The sequence below is a fragment of the Homo sapiens genome, chromosome 2 (genome assembly GCF_000001405.40).
Source record: "Homo sapiens chromosome 2, GRCh38.p14 Primary Assembly".
Lineage (NCBI taxonomy): Eukaryota > Metazoa > Chordata > Mammalia > Primates > Hominidae > Homo > Homo sapiens.
In genome coordinates, this window is record NC_000002.12 from 233311949 (window position 1) to 233336092 (window position 24144).

The window sequence follows — 24144 nt, forward strand, 5'->3', positions numbered from 1 at the left end:
AACCCTGTCTCTACTAAAAATACAAAAATTAGCCGGGCGTGGTGGTGCATGCCTGTAATCCCAGCTACTCGGGAGGCTGAGGCAGGAGAATCGCTTGAACCTGGGAGGTGGAGTTTGCAGTGAGCCGAGATCGCGCCATTGCACTCCAGCCTGGGCAACAAGAGCGAAACTCTGTCTCAAATAAATAAACAAATAAGTACCGACCTCATGCACCTTAAGAACAACCACCAACTACCCTCGACCCTATATCCTTTCTAGTTCTTCTTCCCTTGCAGCCAAACCTTTTGAAAGAGAAGAAACATGCCCTCTCTTCACCTGCCCTTGTCTCTCCCGTCCACTCTGCAGTCCCCCTCATCAGCTCCACAGTCAGGCTGCCTAACTGGTTCTCCCCTTGCCGATCCATTCTCCAGTTTGCTGCTGGCATGAGCTAAATCTCAGTGCTCCCTTCTATAAAATGGGCTGCATTCCTGTCTCATTGAGTTGCTGTGAGGATTAAGTGAAACCATGTGGTCAAAGTGCTTAGCTTGGCCCCTGATACATGATAAGCACTCGAAATGCTATTTAATTCTTCCAAAAGCTATTTCTCTATTTAGCTTTCCTAAATACTGTTTAATTCAAGTCTTTCATCCTGCTTAAAACGCTTCAACGTCTTCTGAGGTTCTTTAGGGCCACGTCCTATGAGACCATTTCAGCAGCAGCAGCCTGCATCCCCATTCAGTGGCATGGTGAAGCCATTGGCAGTTCCAGAAGCATTCTCGGGGCCCCGGGCTTCGTATACATTTTGCTCAGAGAGCATGCCCTCAACCGTCCCCTGTCCTCTGGCTATGCCATTTGTCCACCAGGTAGAGCCTCCTCTGAAAGCAAGAGCCTTCCCTCTCTCCTTCCCTCCTCAGTGCCCTCCCCTCAGGCTTCCTCCCCACCAGCCTTTGCCCTGGCATTTATTCCAGGGGCACAATTGCCAGTTCACTTGCTGGGCTCCCAACCAAAGAGCAGGGACCTTGGGGACCAAGGGGATGTCTTCTTCGGTTTTTATTTTCAGTAGCCAGCAGCTGCTGGGGCCTCTGTAACCGTGTGTGGGATAGATGAAAGCAGTATTTGCCTAATTGACAGGCGAAGTCTAGCAAAGGAGACAGGCTCCTGCAAGAGCACCCAGAACACAGTGTGCTGCACACTGAGGTGTGGTCGCAGGCCACATGCTCCCGGGGCACCAAAAGCCAGGGGGTGCTGGGCAAAGGGAGAGATGGGGACCGTGAGGTGTCCCCTGAAGCGTGGGTAGGATTTCCCCCAGGTGAAAGTGCAGCAGAAGGGCCTTCCTTACCGTGGAAACAATAGGAACAGAGGCACAAATCTGTGGTGTTTGGGGGAGCTGTGGCAGAGCCGCTGTGGCCAGAGCCCAGGGAAGAGTGGAGCTGTTAGAGAGGATGCTCTCAGGGTGGCCACGCACAAGGCGCTGGGGTTTATTCCACAGAGAAGGAGTGAGCAGCCAGTAGACACTGAGCAGCAGAATAGCGAGGTCATAGTTACCATTCCTGCAAGGCAGCCTCCAAATTGGTTGATTTGGGGAGAATTTTTTTTTTTTTGAGACAGGGTCTTACTCTGGAGACCAGTGAAGATCTCTTTACCCCCTTTGTGGGAGAGCAGGGTTGGAGTACAATGGTACGATCGTAGCTCACTGCAGCCTCAACCTCCTAGGCTCAAGTGATCCTCCTTCCTCAGCTTCCCAAGTAGTTGAGACTACAAGCAGGCACCACCTTGCCCGGGCTAATCTTTTTTTTTTTTTTTTTTTTTTTGAGAGATGGCAGGGGACAGAGGAGGGGGTATCACTTTGTTGCCCTGGCTTGAACTCCTGACTTCAGGTGATCCTTCCCACCTTGGTCTCTCAGTGTTGGGATTACAGGCATGAGCCACTGTACCTGGCCAGAGGAGAGTTTTTAAAAGGGGCTGTTTGCTAGGGTGTAGGCAGGTGTGAAAGAAATCACAAGAAATAGCCAGGTACAGTGGTGGCTCATGCCTGTAATCCCAGCACTCTGGAAGGCCGAGGTGGGTGGATTGCTTGAGCCCAGGAGTTTGAGACCAGCCTGGGCAACATGGCGAGACCCTGTCTCTACAAAAAAATATAAAAAATTAGCTGGGCATGGTGGCGTGCATCTGTAGTCCCAGCTACCTGGGAGGCTGAGGTGAGAGGATCACTTGATCCTGGGAAGCAGGGGTTGCAGTGAGCTGAGATAGTGCCACTGCACTCCAGCCTGGGCGACAGAATGAGACCTTGTCTCAAAAAAAAAAAAAAATTACAAGAAAGAGCTCCATGCGCCACACGGCAGTGACGAGCAGCTGGGTGCTGGCACCTCCCTGGGGTTAAGGGATGAGGGATCGCACAATTCTCAGAACCCCGAGGCCCTCAGGGCTACCTCCCAGGAACTGTGATCCCCACTAGAGGGCTGTGCCAGCCGCAGGCCCAGCCACCATGCAGGCAAGGTGGGGACAAACATCTGGCCCACCTTGCCCAGAAGCCAGAAGACCAGGGAATCTACTAGGGCAACACGCCCTGGTCAGCCCCGCAGGGTGGATCTTGAGGGCAAGGCCAAGACACCCACAGTGTTTAGGAAGCTGGGACTCGCTGCAGCAACCAGCAGGTAGCAGTGTGTGTCCCGGTCAGCCCGCTGCTCACAGGTGCCAGGCTTCCACACCACCCAGGCTAGTGAGGCCTCCCAAACATGCTTAGCGCTGGGAGTATAAGGTTTCCTACGGAATCTTCTCTGTAAACCAGGGTTCTAGTGGTATTTGCTGGAAGTCACTTCAGCATCATTCATGCGAGTAACCTAGAGGGCACAGGGCTACGCTTCGGGACATCTGATATGGGTGAAAGGGGAGCGTATAGGAGAGGACTTAATGCCAACAAAAATGATTTAGGCCGTTCCTGGAATTCAAAATATTCATTCGAAGAAGGGGGCCAGCCAAGGGGGCCACACTCAATGAAAGAGTGTACTCTCATTCATTGGTGCACTTGGCAAACACTGAATCCCTGTGTGTCCTAGACTCTGCAGTAGATGCTTAAAGATGTGCAGAGACTCCAGATTACTACCACCAAGCCACAGTCCTATGGATTAAAGTGCTGAGGGCTGGGAAACCCAACCCTGCTCTCCCATAAGTGGGTAGAGACCTTCGTTGCCAGGGGCAGGACAGGGCCAGGGCCTGTGGGCCCAGATGATGGCCATCCCCTTCCCACCCAGCTCCCTCAGTGCGTGGCTTTAGGTCTACCTGTGCAGTAGTTCACCTGGTGGGATTTCAGGGGCTTCTCCAGAACTCACACCTCTTTGCGTTGTCCAGAAGTTCTTTTTTTTTTTTTTTTTTTTTTTTTTTTTGAGACAGAGTCTTGCTCTGTCACCCAGGCTGGAGTGCAGTGGAACGATCTCTGCTCACTGCAACCTCCACCTCCTAGGCTCAAGCAACTCTCCTGCCTCAATCTCTCGAGTAGCTGGAATTACAGGCGTATACCATCATGCCCAGCTAATTTTTGTGTTTTTAGTAGAGACAGGGTTTCGTCATGTTGGCCAGGCTGGTCTCAAACTCCCGACCTCAGGTGATCCGCCCGCCTCAGCCTCCCAAAGTGCTGGGATTACAGGGGTGAGCCACCACACCCAGCCTGTCCAGAAGTTCTTGTGACAAAGAGGGGCTACCTTTCATTCCACAGCTGGAAATAAAAGATTTAACATGCAAATGGATGGCAAAAGTCTCATTTACATAATTTTCTTTCTTTCTTTTTTTTTTTTTTGAGACGGAGTCTCACTCTGTTGCCCAGGCTGGAGTGCAGTGGCGTGCTCTTGGCTCACTGCAACCTCCGCCTCCCAGGTTTAACTGATTCTCCTGCCTCAGCCTCTTGAGTAGCTGGGACTACAGGCGCGTGCCACCACGCCCAGCTAATTTTTATATTTTTTTTTAGTAGAGACAGGGTTTCACCATATTGGCCAGGCTCAAACTCCTGACCTCGTGATCCGCCCGCCTTGGCCTCCCAAAGTGCTAAGATTACAGGTGTGAGCCACCGCGCCCGGGCTGCTGCTGGTTTTTATCATGGATGCCTTAGCTTAGCATTCTTTGGCCCTTAGACCCACACCTGTTCTTCTTGCAGGTGACCATCTACCTGGGGAACAGAGACTACATAGACCATGTCAGCCAAGTCCAGCCTGTGGGTAAGTTGCTTGGAGAAAACTGTAATGCTGGTTTTCCTTTAAGTCACAGATAACCGCTCACTTTGTGTTTTTAAAAACTGGCCTTGCTAATAATCTAAATAAAGACATGCAAATTAAAACATCAGTGAGGCGCCACTGGCTGATTGGAAACAATTTTATTTATTTTTATTTTTATTTTTATTTTTATTTTTTTGAGATGGAGTTTCATTCTTGTTGGCCGGGCTGGAGTGCAGTGGCATGATCTTGGCTCACTGCAACCTCTGCCTCCTGGGTTCAAGTGATTCTTCTGCCTCAGCCTCCCAAATAGCTGGGATTACAGGAATGCATCACCACGCCCAGCTAATTTTGTATTTTTAGTAGAGATGGGGTTTCACCATGTTGGCCAGGCTGGTCTCAAACTCCTGACCTCAGGTGATCCGCCCGCCTCGGCCTCCCAAAGTGCTGGGATTACAGGCATGAGCCACTGTGTCCGGCTGGAAAGAATTTTAAAGAGTGTGAAGAGACAAAGGACTCATGTCTGGAATGTATGAAGAACGCTCAGAACTCAGCAGTACAAAAAGCAAGATCCTATGAGAAAATGGGGGAAAGACAGGAAGATACATTTCATCAAAGAAGATACATGAAGACAAGCAAGCACATGAAAACATCTTTGGTATCATTAGCCACTAGGGAAATACAGATTAAAGCTACAGTGAGAGCATATTATACACCTACCAAAATGGCTAAAATATTTTAGGTTGGTGCAAAAGTAATTGCAGTTTTTTGCCATTACTTTCAATGTAGTGGCGAGATCTTGGCTCACTGCAACCTCCACCTCCTGGGCCCAAGCGATCCTCCGACCTCAGCCTCCCAAGTAGCTGAGACTACAGGCATGTGCCACCACGCCTGGCTAATTTTTGTATTTTTTGCAGAGATGGAGTTTTGCCATGTTACCCAGGCTGGTCTTGAACTCCTGAGCTCAAGTGATCTGCCTGCCTTAGCCTCCCAAAGTGCTGAGATTACAGGCGTGAGCCACTGCACCCAGCAGCAGCTTCTTAAAACATGAAACACATACTTACCATATGACCCAACAGTTGCATCCCGGGCACTTATCTCAGAGAAATGAAAACTTGTGTCCTCACAAAAACCTATACATGATTGTTCACAGCAGCTTTATTTGTGGTAGCTCCAAACCGGAAAGAACCAAAATGTTTCTCAGAATGTCCCACGTCAGCTTCCTAGTTTTGATATTGTACTGTAATTATGGCAGATGGAACCATTGGGAGAAACTGGATGAAGGATACTAGGGACGTCTCTGTACTATCTTTGCAACTTCCTGTGAATCTATAATCATTTCAACACAAAACGTCTTTTAAAGAGTGTAGAAAAACTGGCAGTTTCAGACACTGGATATGCAAATGTGCCTTGGCAAAACACTTTCTGGAAGGTTATTTGGCAGCATGTTATCAAAAGCCAAATCCAATTCTATAATTTATTTTTAAAAAGTCATGGAGAGATATAAAGACATATGTATAAGGATGTTCATCACAATATTAATTACAATGGGAAAAATTGGAAACAACCTAGATGCCCTAACAATAGGAAGTGATTAAATAATTTATGGTACATCCATTCAATGGAGTAATACATAGCTATTAAAATGATTAGCACGTTTTCTCTATATGTGTGTGTGTGTATATATATACGTGTGTGTATAGATGTATGTATGTGAGTATGAATAGATGTTTGCAATGTATAATTGAGTGAGGAAAGCAGTTAGCTGAACAGTATGTACAATAGGATCTTTTTCTTTACTTAGTAAAAGCATTCGTATAATTAAGTTATATATGTCTGGAAAAAAATTTTTTTTGTCGGGGGTGTGGGACAGTGTCTCTATCACCCAGGCTGGAGTGCAGTGGCACAGTCACAGCTCACTGCAGCCTCAACCTCCCAGGTTTAGGAATTCCCCCTACCTCAGCCTCTCACATAGCTGGGACCACAGGCATGCACCACCGCACCTGGCCCATGCCCTGCTAACTTTTTTTCTTTTTTCTTTTTTGTATGTTTTGAGAAAAGGTCTGGCTCTATTACCCAGGCTGGAGTGCAGTGGCATGATCATGGCTCACTGCAGCCTTGACTTCCCGGGCTCAAGGGATCCTCCTGCCTCAGCCTCCTGAGTAGTTGGGACTACAGGCATGTACCACCACACCCAGCTAATTTTTTTTTTTTGTTTTTTTATAGAGACAGGCTCTCATTTTGTTACCCAGGCTGCTGGCTAATTTTTTTTAAAAACTTTTTGTAGAGACAAGGATCTCACTATGTTGCTCAGGCTGCTCTCGAACTCCTAGGCTCGAGCAGTCCTCCTGCCTTGGCCTCCCAAAGTACTGGGATTACAGGCATGGGCCACCACACCTGACCTGGAAAAATAAAATAAAAATCTGCACCAAGATCTTCACAATAGGTATTTTCAGGCAGTAGGAATTTGGATGACTTTTTTCCCTTTGCCTGACTTTTCTTTCTTTCTTATAATGAACATGGATTACATGTGTAATTAAAAACATGCGCAGTTTTTAAAGTAGGTGTCTGGTTTCTTTCATCTTCTCCACCCTCACTGCTCTCTCCCTCTTTTGCCTTAGATGGTGTCGTGTTGGTTGATCCTGATCTTGTGAAGGGAAAGAAAGGTGAGATGAAGCCCCTTGTCTCAGGCTGGTTTCTGGGCGGAGTGGACTGCTCTCTGGGCGGCTCTGGGAAGGGGCATTTACATGGAAGGAGAGACAGGAAGGCAGAGGCAGCGCTCTTGCACATGGAACCAGTGCCAGGCCCACTGACCCACACTCCTGTACCTAATTCACGTGACATAGGTCCTGTTGACACCAGAGCTCACTCGCTCAGCAAAGTCATTGTCCAGGGTGGCAGATAAGTAGATGGTAGACGGAGCCCAGGTCTGTGGCCCCCATTCCTGTTTGCTCGCCCCTGTTTCATGTACTTCTGTGCTAGGGGCAAACTCAGGAGGGTGCCTGGGGTGCCTAGGACTCAGGAGGACACAAGACCTTGAATGAATGAGGGGCGAGTGAGTGGGCAGTGTTTCTTCTGAGTCAGTGGCGAGGGGCAGTTACCGTTGGGGCTGACAGGCAAAATTCTCAACCAACACCAAAAAGGGGGAAATGATGCCTGCTGGGGGCAGGGGGAGTAAGACCCAGAATTTATTATGGTGCTTACTTCGATGGTTCTGAACCAGTGTCACGGCGCCCTTGAAGATTTCTGGCAGTTTTGATGTGTGTGGTAAGTAATTTGTTACTAATAACAGTTGCATAAACCAAATTAGAACAGATTCCAGCTATCCTTGTGATAATGTCACTGACTCAGTTCCATTCTAAATATGCCTTTTTGAGTGTTGCTACTGGCAACATCAAGGAATTGTTCAGAACCCTGGATGTGCCACTGGAATACGTCAGCTATGGGGCCATCAGCATTGAGGGGGCATGGCTGAAATGGGGCCCCAAACGGCCCCCTCTGTCCTCTCCACCTTCCTCCTGGGTGCCCTGCTCCTCTCTGGACCAGGAGGCATCTGGTTTGAGCCCCGAAAGCCCAAGTCCTTGACCAGAGAAGGGCGCCTGTTCTCAGGGAAAGCCACTGCACAGGACAGCTGTCAAACCACGTGGTCTCTGGGCACCTTCTTAGTCCTGAGCTTGAATGAGGGGCGAGTGAGTGGCCACTGTTTCTTCTGAGTCAGCAGCGAAGGGCAGTTACCTTTGGGGCTTGCAGGCAAAATTCTCAACCAACAGCTACCACGCACTTGGCGGGGCCGCCTCTCGTGCTTTATATTTGAGAAATATGTGCTTCGTGTCTTTTTTAGAAGGTGTAGTGAACTTCATACAATTCTTCTGGTCTACTGGGCGCACACTTCAGGTCTGTTCAACAAGTAGAATTTTCAGAAGTGGGGGTTTAGAGAATGCTCAGTATGTTTCAGAGCAGCGTGAAAAGGAGGCTGGAACTTGAGCCTTCTCAAGTTGGATTTCACCTCCCCATGTGGCCTGTGAGCCTTCAGGCTCCTCACTCAGCCCACGATTGACCCTGGCCCACATCTGCTTTGCTGCCCAGCGCTGTTTCCCTCTGCATCTTACCTTCTTCCTTCATTCGTCCAGACATCCTGCCCTCTAGAACCTGAGCAGCCAGCACTGTCTCAAAGCCTCTGAGGCCACAGAGCTAGGGAATGAAGGGGGCGGGCAGGATGGAGGGGACTGGGTCCTCTGTCTTCAGATTTCTACCATTCTGGCAACATGATACAATTGGGAGGAAGATGCCAGGATCTCCCTTTAGAGCGGTGAACCCTCATGAAGGGGCTGATTCTCCAGAGTGGTGTGGAGTAGCTGGGTGGCAGGGTTCTCTCCAATCCCAGCCCCTATCCCCTCCAGATGCTAAAGGTTGAAAACCCGTGTTCGCTGCCCATTCCGTCAGTGGTGGTGGGTGCCAGGCCGAGGGCCAAGTCCGACCCTGCCTTCATCTCCCTTGCAGTGTATGTCACTCTGACCTGCGCCTTCCGCTATGGCCAAGAGGACATTGACGTGATCGGCTTGACCTTCCGCAGGGACCTGTACTTCTCCCGGGTCCAGGTGTATCCTCCTGTGGGGGCCGCGAGCACCCCCACAAAACTGCAAGAGAGCCTGCTTAAAAAGCTGGGGAGCAACACGTACCCCTTTCTCCTGACGGTGGGTGACTCCTCCGGCCAGCCCTGCTTCCTTCACCCGCAGCACCTTATCATGTGGATGGGGGCAAAGGAAAGGGGATAGAGGAAGAACTTCACATCTGCAGGCCTGGAAATTGCACCCTTGAAAGAAATTCTAGATTGCATGGTCTGTGATTGTCTTTTTTTAAGTCCTTGAAAATAGCCTCTTAGCCTTTGAAGACACCCTTTCAACCTACCGTTTACATATTTCCCTTGACCCGACCCCCTAATTACATGAGCACGTGTTATTCCTTTGCTTGCTAAGCTCGAAAAAGAAAGCTCACAGAAATGCCCCTCGGCCCTGGGGAGTTCTAAGTAGGAAAGGGTTCCCTACAGGACAGGAGAGCTTAGCGAAGTAAGATGTCATCTTTTTCCTTGCCCACAGCTTGGGGGATCACAGGAGATATTTTCATCTCTCTGGGGGCCCGTCTGTCATCCATTGAGACCTGGCTACCAACGGTGCCAGCGTGCAAACTCTCTGAAGTCTTGGGCGTGAGCTCAATTGGGGGAAGCTACCATCTGCTTTACGAGCATGTTTATTTGTCTTAAGAGAATATACACTTCCAAAGTTACATGGTTCAGCCTTAAAAAGGAATGAAATTCTGTTCTGTGCTACACCATGGATGAATCCTGAATACATTATACTAAATGAAAGGACCCAGACACAAAAAGACAAATACTCTATGGTTTCACTTACAGGAGATACCTGGAGTAATCAGATTCATACAGACAGAGACAGAATAGAGCTTCCCACAGGCTGGGGGGTTGGAGGATGGGGAGTTGGGGTTTAATGGGAACAGAGCTTCAGATTGGGAAGATGAAAAATGTTCTGGTGATAGATAGTGGTGATTACTGCAGAATGGTGTGAATGTACTTCATGCCAATGAACCGTACAGTTAAAAGAGCTTAAATGGTAAATTTGATGTTATTCTATGTTTATCACAACTGTTTTACAAAATCACATTTACAAAAAAGTTATAAGGTCCTGGGTGCTCCCATGTACCTGTGCTGGGAGTTTGAAGTGACATAACCTTTTAGAGACAATATGTCAACACGTATTGAAAGCCTTAAAACGTGTGCTTCTCCGAGGTCAGGAGATTGAGACCATCTTGGCTAACATGGTGAAACCCCGTCTCTACTAAAAATACACACACACACACACACACACACACACACACACACACACACACACACACATTAGTCAGGCGTGGTGGCGGGTGCCTATAGTTCCAGCTACTTGAGAGGCTGAGGCAGGAGAATGGTGTGAACCCGGAAGGCAGAGCTTGCAGTGAGCTAGATCGCGCCACTGCACTCCAGCCTGGGTGACAGAGCGAGACTCTGTCTCAAAAAAAAAAAAAAAAAAAAAAAAGTGCTTCTCTTTCTAGCAGTTCAGCTTATGGAATTAATTGTCTAAAACTGATTTATTACAGCATTGTTTGTAATGGCAAAAAAGTAAAGACCACTTCAGTAGCCAGCAAAGGGGACTGGCTACGTTAAGTGTACATTATAGAGCCCTAAAAAGGATGATTCAGAACTGTATTTTATGATGTGGGAAAATGGTCACAATGCTTTCTGAAAAGGGCTAGAATTAATGAAGTGAGTAAACAGACTACAGAACGTGATCATCACTTTGTCCCATTTCTGTAAAACGTCTTCTCACATATACATATTTGGGCGTGGCCAGTTGCAGTGGCTCACACCTATAATCCCAGCACTTTGAGAGGCCAAGGTGGGTGGATTACTTAAGATCAGAAGTTTGACACCAGCCTGGGCAACATGGTGAAACCCCATCTCTAGCAAAAATACAAAAATTAGCTGGGCATGGTGGTGTGTGCCTGTAATCCCAGCTACTCCACTGCACTCCAGCCTGGGCGACAGAGCAAGACTCCATCTCAAAACAAAACATACATATTTATGTGTACAGGCAGGAAATTTTGGGAAGGTTATGTTAGCAATATGTATTTGGGTGTCAGGAGTATAGGTGAATGTGATTTTTCTTTTTTCTTGCTTATCATCTTTATTTTCTAATTTTTACATGATTATATATTACTTAATGGAACAGCCCCTTCTGAAATAAATGATTTTTTATTTGTTTCTTTCCACAGTTTCCTGACTACTTGCCCTGTTCAGTGATGTTGCAGCCAGCTCCACAAGATTCAGGGAAGGTTAGTTCAAGAAGAAATGCCATGGTTTTATGGATTTGTTCATTCCTTCAATAGACTTTTTTATTGTTTTTGAAACAGGGTTTTACTCTGTCACCAATGCTGGGGTGCAGTGGCGTGATCTTGGCTCACTGCAACCTGTGGTTTCTGGGCTCAAGTGATTCTCTAGCCTCAGCATCCTGAGTAGCTGGGACTACAGGTGTGTGCCACCATGCCCAGCTAATTTTTGTATTTTGTGTGGAGGCGGGGTTTCACCACACTGACCAGGCTGGTCTCAAACTCCTGACCACAGGTGATCTGCCTGCCTTGGCCTCCCAAAGTGCTGGGATTACAGGTGTGAGCCACTGCACTGGCTCCTTCAATAGACTTTTTTTTTTTTAGATGGAGTTTCACTCTTGTTGCCCAGGCTGGAGTGCAATGGCATGATCTCGGCTCACCACAACCTCTGCCTGACAGGTTCAAGCGATTCTTCTGCCTCAGCCTCCCGAGTAGCTGGGATTACAGGCGTGGGTCACCATGCCTGGCTAATTTTGTAATTTTAATAGAGATGGGTTTTCTCCACATTGGTCAGGCTGGTCTCGAACTCCCGACCTCAGGTGATCTGCCTGCTTTGGCCTCCCAAAGTCCTGGGATTACAGGCGTGAGCCACCGCGCTCGGCCCATTAGACTTTTAAAGATAGCTTTTTTTCATGGAAAATTTCAAACGTACCCAAAAGTAGAGAGACCAGTATAAAGATCCTCTATGAACCCATCACTCATCTTCAGCAGTTATTAACCATGAACATCCTTGTGAACAAAATCACAGAGTCCCAACCCCCATGAGTCTCACACATTAACCGAGAGCACCAGGTAAACCCAAATAACAAGGAACTACACGGCATGCCAGGTGGCCACAGATGCTGTGGAGAACAAGAGGCTTGTGAGAGACAAGGGGAGTATCTGGTGGGATGTGTGTTGAGGATGTTTAAAGCCAGTCTCTAATGAGGCAAAGGAGAAAGCCACACTCTCCCAGGGGAGAGCCTTCCAGGTAGAGGGCGCACCTCGCCTGGTGTGTTCCGGGGGCAGTGAGGAGGTTGCCTGCTGAGTGAGAGGAGCAAGGGATGAAAGGGGGAGGCCAAGTGCAGTGGCTCAGGCCTGTCATCCCAGCACTTTGGGAGGCTGAGGTGGGCGGATCAACCCAGGAGTTCAAGACTAGCCCGGGCAACGTGGCGAGACCCCATCTCTACAAAAAATACAAATATTAGCCAGGATTGGTGGCACATGCCTGTAGTACCAGCTACTTGGGAGGCTGAGGTAGGAGGATCACTTAAGCCCTGGAAGCAGAGGCTGCAGTGAGCTGTGATCATGCCACTGCACTGCGCTCTAGCCTGAGCGATAGAGTGAGACCCTGTCTCAAAAACAAACAACAAACAAAAAAAGTGGGAAGCTGAGGTTAGAGTGGAAGGGGAGGTGTGGCCAGATCATGAAGGGCCTTGTCGATGTTGTAGAGACTTGAGTTTTTGCCTGAATGAGATGGGAGCCATTGGCAGGCTGTGAATGACAGGCGCTGACTTTCCAAATGGTCACTATGGCCACAGAGTTGAGAACAGAGTTGAGATGGCCAAGCATGTGCTGTGGGGACTGAGGGTGTGTGAGAGAGGAGTGAGTCAGGTGGACGGGGCTCCAGCATGGAAGGAGGCGGTGGGGACAGGAGGAGAAGGAGGTGCCAGGACCCGTGGGTTCAGGCCCTCTAAGCCACTGGGTCTGGGATTCATGAGGAAGGGAGCTACACAGAGAGGCAGTTTCTGTAACTGGATTATGGGATGGGCAGTGATAGGTGATGACAAGGGCAGTGTTTTTGTCGCAGGGCATCTGCGACATCTGACCCGTTAGTGGTTCGTGAAATCAATGTAGTGGATCCAAAATGGAAGGGAACAGAATGGAATGGAATAGAATAGAACAGACAGGGTGCGGTGGCTCATGCCTGTAATCCCAGCACTTTGGGAGGCCGAGGCGGGCAGATCACCTGTGGTCACGAGTTTGAGACCAGCCTGGCCAACATGGCAAAACCCCGTCTCTACTAAAAATAGAAAAATTAGCCAGGCATGGTGGCGCGTGCCTGTAATCCCAGCCAATTGCTTGAACCTGGGAGGCGGAGATTGCAGTGAGCCGAGATTGTGCCACTGCATTCCAGCCTGGGCATTAGAGCAAGGCTCCATCTCAAAAAAAAAAAAAAAAAATTAGCTGGGCATGGTAGTGTGCTACTTGGGAGGCTGAGGTAGGAGAATCACTCAAACTTGGGAGGCGGAGGTTGCAGTGAACTGAAATTGTGCCACTACACTCCAGCCTGAGCAACAGAGCAAGACTCCATCTAAAAAAAAAAAAAAATAGAACAGAACAAAATGGAATGGATTGGAAAATCTCAGAGTATGTCACACATGGTGAAGCTGAATATGGTGTCAGGAGAGTTGTTGCACGTTTGTGTCTGTTTACTGGGCTGTGTTACAAATCCAACTTTCAGAACATCTCGAAGCTAGTGGTCCAGGACAATGGGGTGGGGTGTGCGCAGCCAAGATGGGGGAAGATGAGGTGATTACAGAAGAAGGGGGCACAGAACAATGGGGAATGGAATTGGTTGTGTTAGATCTTATAGTGCTCTATAAGAGAGACCCCAAATTCAGATTTTTAGGTGACCTTTCTTGATTTTTACAACACTGTATAGGCCCAACAAAGCACCACCTATTTTCTGTTCTAGGAGAGGAGCAGGTCTTAGCACAGCTGCAGGGCTTCAGGAAAGTGGGTGCGCCCTGAGCCCAGGGAGCTTGAGAGAAGTGCCTGAATGCCTGGGGGCCTGGGGGCTTGACAGCTGAGAAGCCCAGGTGGGCGAGCAGAACAGGCGTTGGTGTGGCTCAACAACGGCCGGCTGATGGCAGGGAAGGATGCATATTTATTTTCCACTTAGAGTTTAGGACTGCTATGATTCCCTGGTTGCAGAACCAATAAATCCGTGCCTCATATGTCACCATGGACAGAGCTGGCTTCCTGTAATTTTTGCCAGCTCTACTTTCCCCTCCAGGCAGTGGTGGAGGGCAGGCCGGTGCCCTCCTCTGGCTCCCCAACGCATGTGAACGTGCAGAGATGAGGGAGGTTACAAAGGGCTTGCACTGGGGGCCAGGGGCTTCACACACTGGGAATCGGGGGAAGGTCACTGGCAGATCCGTTCATTCAGCCCACACAATGCTTAAAAGTCTTTTTATTTAATTTAAAAACTAGGAGATTTCACTCCAAATTCCACGTGAAGTTTCTTTTTTAAAAATCAAGCTGGCTGGGCGCGATGGCTCACACCTATAATCCCAGCACTTTGGGAGGCCAAGGCAGGCGGATCATGAGGTCAAGAGTTTAAGACCAGCCTGGCCAACCTAGTGAAACCCCAACTCTACTAAAAATACAAAAATCAGCCGGGCATGGTGGTGCACACCTGTAATCCCAGCTACTCAGGAGGCTGAGGCAAGAGAATTGCTTGAACTCGGGAGGCGGAGGTTGTGGTGAGCCGAGATCATGCCACTTGCACTCCAGCCTGGGCAACAGAGCAAGACTCCATCTCCAAAAAAAAAAAAAAAAAATCGTGCTGCCCGCACTGGGTGCCTTGCTGCCTGGCCACATGAGGCTGCCGCTGAACAGCAGGTGACCATGGGGGTCAGGGTTTCCATACCCTATCAGGGCATTCCTGGACCCCAGCGCTGGCCCTGTGAGTGCCTGTACCTCTGGCCCCTGCTGTAGGCAGTGGAAGTCAGTAAGATGCATGGGATCACAGTTGGGGACACCTAAGTGTGCAAGGTGGCAGGAGGCAAGGATAGCCAGGATGTGAATGACTCTCCACGGCAGCAGGAGGGCTCATGGGGCAGGTGGATCCCCTCCCTCTGGGGGCTTTGGGCCCATGGCACACTCCTTGCGCTACTGTAATTGTTTCACTGTCAGTATGCTTCCAAATCCCTAAATGGTGCAACCCCGAATAGGACATGGCCAAGACAAAAAGAGATAGTGCCACATCATGTGCCCTGTGTGAGGTGTGGCCCTCTGGCCCGGCACCCAGGGAGGGAGTCGCTGATCGCTGCCTGTCTGCTCTCTCTCCCCAACAGTCCTGTGGGGTTGACTTTGAGGTCAAAGCATTCGCCACAGACAGCACCGATGCCGAAGAGGACAAAATCCCCAAGAAGTAAGAGTATGGTTGCGGAATAGGTGAGGGGTCTGCGGTGGGGGTGGAGAGAAGAGACGACCTCCACCTTGTCTCTGTGGGACAGACCTCTTCCCATAGGGCTGGCACGGCTGGGGTACCATCTGCATGTGGGATGGAGGTCAAAGGTTGATCATTTTTGGGGAAAAAAAAGAAAACAAGAAAATGACAGGGAAGTTAGCAACCTCCAGGGCTCACGTAAGCCCCGAAAAGCTCCCGGGTTTCCCCTTTGTTGAAGTTTTGTTGTTGTTGTTTGTTTGTTTGTTTGTTTGTTTTTTGTGGTAAAATGTACACAACATGAAGTTTGCCATTTTAACCACTTTTTTTTCTTTTTTTCTTTTATTTTTTGAAATGGAGCCTCGCTCTGTCCCCCAGGCTGGAGTGCAATGTGACCTCGGCTCACTGCAACCTCCGCCTCCCAGGTTCAAGCGATTCTCCTGCCTCAATCTCCCGAGTAGCTGGGATTACAGGCGTGCGCCACCACGCCTGGCTAATTTTTTTTTTTTTGTATTTTTAGTAGAGATGGGTTTCACCATGTTGGCCAGGCTGGTCTTGAACTCCTGACCTCAAGTGATCCGCCCGCCTTGGCCTCCCAAAGTGCTGGGATTACAGGCGTGAGCCACTGTGCCCGGCCCATTTTAACCACTTTTAAATGTACCATTCAGTGGCTTAAGTACATTCCGAATGTTGTGTAGCCTTCACCGCTGTCTATACCCAAAACTTTCCCATTGCCTGAGCAGGAACTCTACAACCATTGAGCCTACCGCTCCATCCTTCCCATTCTCCCACCCCCTGTGCTGTTTTTTTTTTACCTAAACAAGATTTCCGCCTGGCCCTTCGCACTGTCTCCTTGTGCCCCATGTACACATCTCTGGAGGCGCAGGATAGTGAGCTGCAGTAATGGAGCTCGCATGTATATGGCAGCTATTCCATGAGGCCCTTGACGCCCTCACACCTTAGCCTTGCTGACAGGAGGCAGAGCTGGGAATCCACGGAGCCTAAGGGGCTAAGCTTGGCCCTCGGGATGTTGCCTGGCCCCACAGCTTCCCCCACAGGGAAGGGACCAGGACCCAGACCCCCAGGCTCTTCCACCGTCAGGGCTGCCTCAGGCTCTGACCAGTGTCGTTGCCCTCTTCCCGTCCACCCTGTCTCCATGGGGAGCATTCCTGGAGAATCTCCATGTGACAGTGGGGAGAGAACAGAAGCCTCCCTAAAGCGGCCTGGGTGCCAATCCCTGGCTTGTCTGTGGCTGTTTCCCACAGGAGCTCCGTGCGATTACTGATCCGCAAAGTACAGCATGCCCCACTTGAGATGGGTCCCCAGCCCCGAGCTGAGGCGGCCTGGCAGTTCTTCATGTCTGACAAGCCCCTGCACCTTGCGGTCTCTCTCAACAAAGAGGTAACCACCTACCATCGCTACTACCCGCAGGGCAGCAGGCCTAGGGGCAGGCCCCACACCCCTCTCTTCACCAGCCCCAGCCCTTAACTACATGGGTGCCTTGCAAGGAAGCTTGTTTCTAGGATAAAGCACCAACATGCGTAAGTGACTGGCCTGTTTTCACAGCCTGGAGCTGGTCAGCATGGTCCTTAGAGGAGGACGGAACTGGCTTGCGTTCCACCCACTGGCTGTCCCGAGGGACTGGGGAAGGAAGGGGCGCTGCTTTTCACATACCTGCCCCCCAGCTGTCCTTGTCCTGTCCACCTCCATGGGCCTTGTTCACTCATGGAGCATCAATAGCTGTGGTATCCCAAATTCTTCACTTCCTGGGAAATTTAAGTTTTGCAGAAACCATGTGGGATGGCAGTGTCACCTGTGATGTCATCTCTTAGGGGTGTCATGGTGGGAAAAGGTGAGAGCTGCTGGCCAAGGCTGGCTCTGGTTCCTCTGGTCAGCAGTCAGCCATTTGTGCACTGTGTGTATACACGTGTGTGGGTGTGCCAGGGGCTGTGTTACACGGGCTCTGCTGGGTGGGATGCCAGCACTTGGCTTTCCCAGTGGTTTCCTTTCACTTCACTCATCCTGCCCCCATAACCTCCTGACCCCTGGCCTCCTCCGATGTGATGATCGGAACTCTGTTCCCCTCCCCAGCTTCCCACAGATGGGTGGAATGTGTTTCAGGCCCTTCCTTAGAAGAAATGTATTGCTATCACTTCATCTTCCTTAAATTCTGCCGCTTTTATTCCAGTGAAAGGGATTGAGATGAATCTAGAAAGCAGTAAGATTAAAGACACCGCCACATCTGTTCTCTTCTTCTGACCTATCTGCTGACTTTTCTAGATCTATTTCCATGGGGAGCCCATCCCTGTGACCGTGACTGTCACCAATAACACAGAGAAGACCGTGAAGAAGATTAAAGCATTCGGTAGGACCTTCTTCTCAGAAGTAGAGGGCATAGTCTTCTAGAATTTCTGATCCTGTTTCCTGAGAGGTCACTTCTCTGGTCTGATAAGGCCCTTCTGGGTCCTTGGAACTGGCTACTTGTCTCTGCTGTCATAGGCAGCAGGACTGCGGAGGGAGAAAGGCCTTACAAGTTATCTCATTCAACTTCCTGCCCACTTACGGCTGGTTTTTGTCTTGGAACAAAATTCCTGGCAAGTGATCTCTTTCCATGGTTATGCCTTCCTGGAGGGCCCCACAGTGCTCATTGTGGTTGACAGATGCAGCACATTGTTGTGGGTGAGGCCTAATTTGTGGACTCATGCTGTGGGCTCTGTGATCCCAGCTGGCATCCACAGCAGGGGCTCCTTGTCTACCTTCCCAGGCTTTGTGTGGCTTGAAGGAGGTCCCACATGGAAGCGCTTTGTAAATGGTGAAGTGTGACTGTCTCGGCTCAAATGGCCATCATGTCATGGCTGACCTTCCCATATCCTACAGGGGAGGTGCCTTCTGCCTGTTGTTCCCACACATTAACTAAGCTCAAAAAGCATCAAAGCACAGGGGGTCTTATATAATGGTCTTATTTGGCTCTTTCATGAGGAAGACATGATGGAATGACCTGTGAGGGTAACCTCTAAGTTCACTTTTTAACTCAAACATTCAATGACCAAGACAAAGTTAGACTTATGCATCTTGGGGTGACTGTCCCAGGGCCCAGGACTGAGGATGTGGAACTTCCAGTCCTAAAATGGGCTCTCCCGGGCAAGCCAGGGTGAGCAGTGGCCCTAGGTGTCATATACCACTTTTCCCTGTGAGTCATCACAGATGAGGGTCAGAAATCCTGATGCGTGCAGACTAAGGAATTCTAGACTTTTCCCTCCCTCCCTTCCTTCCTTCCTTCCTTCCTTCCTTCCTTCCTTCCTTCCTTCCTTCCTTCCTTCCTTCCTTCCTCCCTTTCTTTCACAGTCTCCCTCTGTCACCCAGGCTGGAGTGCAGTGGTGTGATCTCGGCTCACTGCAACCTCCAGCTCCTGGGTTCAAGCCATTCTCCTGCCTCAGCCTCCCAAGTAGCTGGGATTACAGGCGTGCACCAATTTTGCCTGGCTAATTTTGTATTTTCAGTAGAGATGGGGATTTCGCCATGTTGGCCAGGCTGGTTTCAAACCCCTGACCTCAGGTGATCCATCCGCCTCAGCCTCCCAAAGTGCTGGGATTACCGGTGTGAGCCACTGCACCCGGATAGCTGTTAACTTTTTAAAAACAAAATATTAATTGCTTTCTATAGGCTGGGCACTGTACTGCATGCCTTGCACAAATTGTTTCTTTATCCTCAAACTTTGGCTGAGTGCAGTGGTTCACGCCTGTAATCCCAGTACTTTGGGAGGCCAAGGTGGGAGGATCCCTTGAGCCCAGGAGTTCAAGACCAGCCTGGGCAATATAGGGAGACCCTGCCTTTATTTTTTAAAAAAATCCTCAAGCTTAATTTTAAAGGTGATTAAAAGTCATCTTTTTAATCATCACAACGTCCCTATGAGTTAGATGCAATTATTACCCCCATTTTACTGATGGGGAAACTGAGGCTTAGAATAGATAAATAATTCACCCCACAGTTAGTGGCTAAGCCAAGATTGGCACCCAAACAGCCTGGCTCCAGGCCCACCTTCCTATCCACCACGTTCCACCCACCAACCAGTCCTGTACTGCCTCTAGCTAGTCTCTTGGAGGACAGGAAGGACAATGTTCATGAAGTAAGATGGAGGATGTTAGAAAGGGCTGAGCAGGGGAAAGGAGGGGTCTCCCAGGAGCTGCAGCCTTAGGGGACATGGGTGGGAGTTGATACAGAGCAGGTTATGGGTGACCAGAAATGGCCTGGAGACAGGACTTCAAAACCCCAGCCTTGAAGCTGAGGGCTGAGAAAGCCTAGCCTTGGAAGTGGAGGGAAACCATCATCAGAGAGGAGAGACCAGCGTGTACCCTGGGAGGCCGCAGGGAAAGTGCACGTGTTGGGGGACCAGTGCTGACCACCGGACTCCCGTCTTCCCCTTGCAGTGGAACAGGTGGCCAATGTGGTTCTCTACTCGAGTGATTATTACGTCAAGCCCGTGGCTATGGAGGAAGCGCAGTGAGTAGCTGTTGGGGTTTCCGTTTCCTGGGCGTCTCAGCCTTCTGTGTCAAGTTTCTCGCCGTTTATTGCTGAAGAAGGAACTAGAATGTTCAGCTAGCTCGCCAGCCTTCCACTTCCTTCCTCTTTCTCCCTTCGAGGGCTGCACAGAAAGTTAGCATCTTAGCTCTGCATCTACCACACCCCTCTGTGCCCATCTTACAGGAGTTCTGAGGATTAATGCAAGCCAAAGAATGACGCAGAGGAGAGAAATAAAGACAGAAATGTCACCATGGGATCAGCTGGCTTTTTCTATTTATCCTTGGAATGAATTGTTAGGAATTTGGTACTATTTCCACCTCCCAGAAGATGGTCAAATGAACTGTCAGCCCAGGCTAGGATTCCCTATCTTTTGATCTCAAATTGAAATCTTATACCAGTGACAACTGGATTAGAATATATCTGTTCTTAGCCTGTTGTTGTGAATGACTTTTCCCCTTTGTTAGAATCAAAAACAAATGAGAATCCTGCCATGGTTCCTTTATGCTGGCCTGAGAGACCTGCCCAGCTTTGCTGTGTGCCACAAAGTCAAATAGATTCATTTAATACATGGCTTGGAGTGGGGGGCGATGATCTCCCACCTCCAGCCCCCCGAGAGGATAGCTCGACCAGGTCTTAACTCTTTGCCTTGCTGGCATGTTCTAAGCACCGTTGTATGTAAAAAATATTATCAGGGTTAGAGGAAGGTTAGGGTAGGGGAATGATGAAAGACAACTGATTCCTTAAGATAATATAAGGTAATAGATAGATTTTTTTGAGATGGAGTCTCACTCTGTTGCCCAGGCTGGAGTGCAGTGGTGAGATCTCAGCTCACTGCAACCTCCACCACCCAGGTTCGAGCCATTCTCCTGACTCAGTCTCCCAAGTAGCTGGAATTACAGGAGCCCGCCACCAAGCCCAGCTAATTTTGTATTTTTTTTTTTTTTTGAGACGGAGTTTTGCTCTTGTTGCCCAAGCAGGAGTGCAATGGCGCGATCTTGACTCACTGCAACCTTTGCCTCCTGGGTTCAAGTGATTCTCCTGCCTCAGCCTCCTGAGTAGCTGGGATTACAGGCACACGCCACCACCCCTGGCTAATTTTTTGTATTTTTATTAGAAATGGGGTTTCACCATGTTAGCCAGGCTGGTCTCGAACTCCTGACCTCAGGTGATCTGCCCACCTCGGCCTCCCAAAGTGCTGGGATTACAGGAGTGAGCCACCGTGCCTGGCTGATTTTGTATTTTTAGTAGAGACAGGGTTTCACCTGTTGGCCAGGCTGGTCTCAAACTCCTGACCTCAGGTGATCTGCTTGCCTCAGCCTCCCAAAGTGCTGAAATTACAGGCGTGAGCCACCGCACCTGGCCTATATGGGAATATTTAAAAGGCAACTTTAGGAGAAACTATTACTGTTATTCAAAACAGATTCAAACTGTAGGTCTACAAGGGAGGGAGACAGGAAAGAACCACCACTCACTGCCTCCTTTCTGCCAAGATTGGGCTCTGTTCTGCCTTTAGGGGATCCTCGCACATCCCTGTGCCCTGGAGGGGTCTTGGCCCTGGTTCACCTTTCCTCATGTGCTCAGCAACATGGGAGCAAAGGATCCTGGCTGAGTTTTCCCCTAATATGTATTCCATCACCTGGTCCTCTTTCAAAGTGTTGGGTGCATTTTGGGTCAAAGATTCCCAGGAAACTGGAAAGCATTCCAAAGTCCCCCAAAGGCTGGAGGAGCCTGGGAGCTGGACTGGACCATGCTGACAAGTCTGAAGCTAGAGGCCACTCAGAAAGCTGCAGAGCAGGAGCCATCGTCCCAGAGCCCTGTGGCTTCTGGGGCTTTAGTGGGCAGGCTTCCACGGAACCAGGACAGACCTGACTCCCAAGCTGCTCCCCACCATCCAAACCCACATCCTGAAGCTCTGGGGAGTGGCCCCAGAGCCTTGGCATAGTCCTTTGGCAAGCTCTGCACAAACACAAAAAGTCCATCCTCTGAGCCCAACCCCAAGGGCCCTCTTCCTATTCCAGCCATCTTTACAATGCTGTTTCTGCTTTTTTCAATGCTCAAATTACGCTCATTAAGAGAGGTTCCACCAGGACCCAGATGGTAGGATGTGGGCCACCTTGGGCTCTGGCAGATTTCTGTAAAGAGCTTCCTGTAGACACTGGAGGCAGGATAGGGGACAGCTGCTTTTACCTATCCAGGGAAACTTGATTAGGGAAAGGAAGTCCTTTCCCAGAGAGGCAGTTCAGACTTCCAGCTGTCTCAGGACAGCCTTAGAATGGTCCTGATGCTGGCCACACCCCACCTTGTTCTGGCTAGGCACAGGATGGAGGGTGTGCTTCCGGCACGAATGGGCTCTGCTGTCAGAGAGTGTGCAGCCACGTGACTGTGGGCACACTTCCCGTCTGGAAAATGGGGATCTTGGAGCACCTGCTTGGTATGGGGTTGATGAGGGTAAGGTGAGAGTTTTGAGGACAGGCCTTAGCACTTGGCCTGGCACACAGCATGCACGTGAGTGGAGGAGCCAACTCTCCAGCCGCAGAGGCTGCTTCATGATCCTGGCCATGCTGCCGTGTGTCTGCCTGGAGAAACACACATTGCTGTGTCCCCAGCTGGATCCCAGACCCGCCTGTTGGCACAGGGTCTCCGCCATCTGTCAGATGTTGAGAAATCTATACCCCGACTGATGATGAAGAAGATCCAGTAGAGAAAGAGCATGTGCTGCTTTGGACCCAAGCTATTCGGTCTGTGTGATCCACAAATTGTGGGTCCCTGCGTTGCCCCTCTAGACAACTTACCACACAGTCACACTGTGACCCCCTTATAGTGACAGTTTTTGGTGACAAGAGGCTTTCTGGCCTGGACTCGTTGCTGACACCAACCAGAAGGTTCTGCAGGCCACCGTGTGGTTCACAAAGTCTCAGGAGGAGGCTGTGGTCTCTGACTCTTGAGCCAGTTTGTCTCATTAACTCCATAGAACATTCTAGAAATTCAGCAATTCAGAATAGGCTGAGTTGCTTGAAGAAATATCCTCCTGTTGCTGCCAGCCCACCCTGAGATTTCACAAGCACTGTTCTGCTTCTCGTAAGTCAAGTTCCCAGGCTCTTGAACCCACCTTCCCAGGAGGTCCATCAGGGGATGTGGATCCTGGAAAATGCCTAATGTCAAATAGGGGCTCATGGGGTCCATGGCAGCTTTGATGGTTATAAATCTCCTCTGTTCTTCTTCCTCTAGAGAAAAAGTGCCACCAAACAGCACTTTGACCAAGACGCTGACGCTGCTGCCCTTGCTGGCTAACAATCGAGAAAGGAGAGGCATTGCCCTGGATGGGAAAATCAAGCACGAGGACACAAACCTTGCCTCCAGCACCATGTGAGTCCTCGAGGCTCAGGGAATAAGCCCTGGCAGGGCGGGCTGGTGCTGGTCTGCTTCCCTTCACATCACCCTGCTGGGCTCGCAGGCACGCACGTGCAGCATGGTGGTCTGGCGTGTGTAGTGTGGAGTGCATATCTACGGGCCCACACAAGGATCCCACTCTCACCCCTGGTGTGATGTGGGGGTTACACCCATGGGCCTTGGAGACAGCTGTGCGCTAACCCCAGCTCTGCTGCTGACCCTGGGAAAACACCTTGAGTTCTCTGAGAACCTCAGTTTTCCTGTTTGTAAAGTGGGGGCGGTAATAGTTCAAGTCTCATAGAGTGATTATAAGGATTCAGTGAGACAATCCATGTGAAGCGTGGGGCCTGACACACAGAGAGTGCTCCAGGAATGTCAGCTACTGTTTTTAGAAGTATCACTAGCTAGTGTGGTGCCCTAAGCATGTAAACTGAGTAATGCTCTTGGCTGTGTTCATTCATTCATTCATTCATTCGTCCATTTCCATCAGGAATTGTAAAGAACAGGAGGTCCTAATGACTTTAGATGTCCATTAAATTTAAATGAAACTAAGTACTGATCTGCTGACCCTGACTCAAAGGACGACTGGCTGAATTTGGGCAGCAGATCTAGCGAAGACTATACAGTGAAGTTCCCAAGTCAGCGTCCACTGTCCTTCCAAGCCACGCTTTTGCGCTTCCCTTCCCGGGAGCATGTCTGTGGGCTCAAGGCCCACTCACTGCCACCTCCCCATGTGATATGCTGGGGGTTCCCTCTGTGGCCCCAGTAGACCACCTCCGAGGTGATGCCAATGGCTGGGAGACTGGATTGTTTGACCCCATGACTCCGATGCTCAGTAGCTCACACTCTCTGAGACCAAGAGTGGGGAACAGTGAACAATTGGCAGAAAGCAGGTGGAAGTCAAAGGATTTTCTGAGGATAATTGGCCAAGTTACTGTGTTAGATTCTAAAGCACATTCGTGAAGCTCC

At 49.8% G+C, this 24144-nt stretch overlaps 1 protein-coding gene across 8 annotated transcripts in view, besides 6 other annotated features; it reads left to right on the forward strand.

Moving 5' to 3' along the window:
- The window catches only part of SAG (S-antigen visual arrestin), a 39240-nt gene that overhangs the window by 4133 nt on the left and 10963 nt on the right, over positions 1-24144 (forward strand). For 4 of the 8 annotated variants that reach the window (XR_001738882.2, NM_000541.5, XM_017004641.2 and 1 more), the window contains 9 exons: positions 4127-4187; positions 6803-6847; positions 8682-8875; positions 10998-11057; positions 15173-15249; positions 16530-16665; positions 17545-17629; positions 19692-19764; positions 23014-23151. Coding sequence is in view for 7 of the 8 variants with exons in the window: in NM_000541.5 (NP_000532.2) it covers positions 4127-4187; positions 6803-6847; positions 8682-8875; positions 10998-11057; positions 15173-15249; positions 16530-16665; positions 17545-17629; positions 19692-19764; positions 23014-23151 (869 nt within the window). In the remaining variant the exon portion in view is untranslated. Of the gene's footprint in view, positions 1-4126; positions 4188-6802; positions 6848-7589; positions 8076-8681; positions 8876-8943; positions 9020-10997; positions 11058-15172; positions 15250-16529; positions 16666-17544; positions 17630-19691; positions 19765-19968; positions 20419-23013; positions 23152-24144 lie in introns of those variants that run through there. The other 4 variants (XM_017004643.2, XM_011511596.2, XM_011511593.4 and 1 more) reach the window with 4 other exon arrangements.
- Positions 7267-8234: an enhancer, noted in NCBI's record as "H3K4me1 hESC enhancer chr2:234227861-234228828 (GRCh37/hg19 assembly coordinates)". NCBI's record gives its function as "activates a minimal SCP1, AML or CMV promoter by ChIP-STARR-seq in naive H9 embryonic stem cells {active_cell/tissue: H9 hESC(naive)}" and the evidence as "EXISTENCE:reporter gene assay evidence [ECO:0000049][PMID:30033119]".
- Positions 8235-9201: an enhancer, noted in NCBI's record as "H3K4me1 hESC enhancer chr2:234228829-234229795 (GRCh37/hg19 assembly coordinates)". NCBI's record gives its function as "activates a minimal SCP1, AML or CMV promoter by ChIP-STARR-seq in naive and primed H9 embryonic stem cells {active_cell/tissue: H9 hESC(naive and primed)}" and the evidence as "EXISTENCE:reporter gene assay evidence [ECO:0000049][PMID:30033119]".
- Positions 10284-10333: an enhancer, noted in NCBI's record as "active region_17338". NCBI's record gives its function as "activates an Ori minimal core promoter by ATAC-STARR-seq in GM12878 lymphoblastoid cells {active_cell/tissue: GM12878}" and the evidence as "EXISTENCE:reporter gene assay evidence [ECO:0000049][PMID:35858748]".
- Positions 14393-15370: an enhancer, noted in NCBI's record as "H3K4me1 hESC enhancer chr2:234234987-234235964 (GRCh37/hg19 assembly coordinates)". NCBI's record gives its function as "activates a minimal SCP1, AML or CMV promoter by ChIP-STARR-seq in primed H9 embryonic stem cells {active_cell/tissue: H9 hESC(primed)}" and the evidence as "EXISTENCE:reporter gene assay evidence [ECO:0000049][PMID:30033119]".
- Positions 16668-17499: an enhancer, noted in NCBI's record as "H3K4me1 hESC enhancer chr2:234237262-234238093 (GRCh37/hg19 assembly coordinates)". NCBI's record gives its function as "activates a minimal SCP1, AML or CMV promoter by ChIP-STARR-seq in primed H9 embryonic stem cells {active_cell/tissue: H9 hESC(primed)}" and the evidence as "EXISTENCE:reporter gene assay evidence [ECO:0000049][PMID:30033119]".
- Positions 17530-18311: an enhancer, noted in NCBI's record as "OCT4-NANOG hESC enhancer chr2:234238124-234238905 (GRCh37/hg19 assembly coordinates)". NCBI's record gives its function as "activates a minimal SCP1, AML or CMV promoter by ChIP-STARR-seq in naive H9 embryonic stem cells {active_cell/tissue: H9 hESC(naive)}" and the evidence as "EXISTENCE:reporter gene assay evidence [ECO:0000049][PMID:30033119]".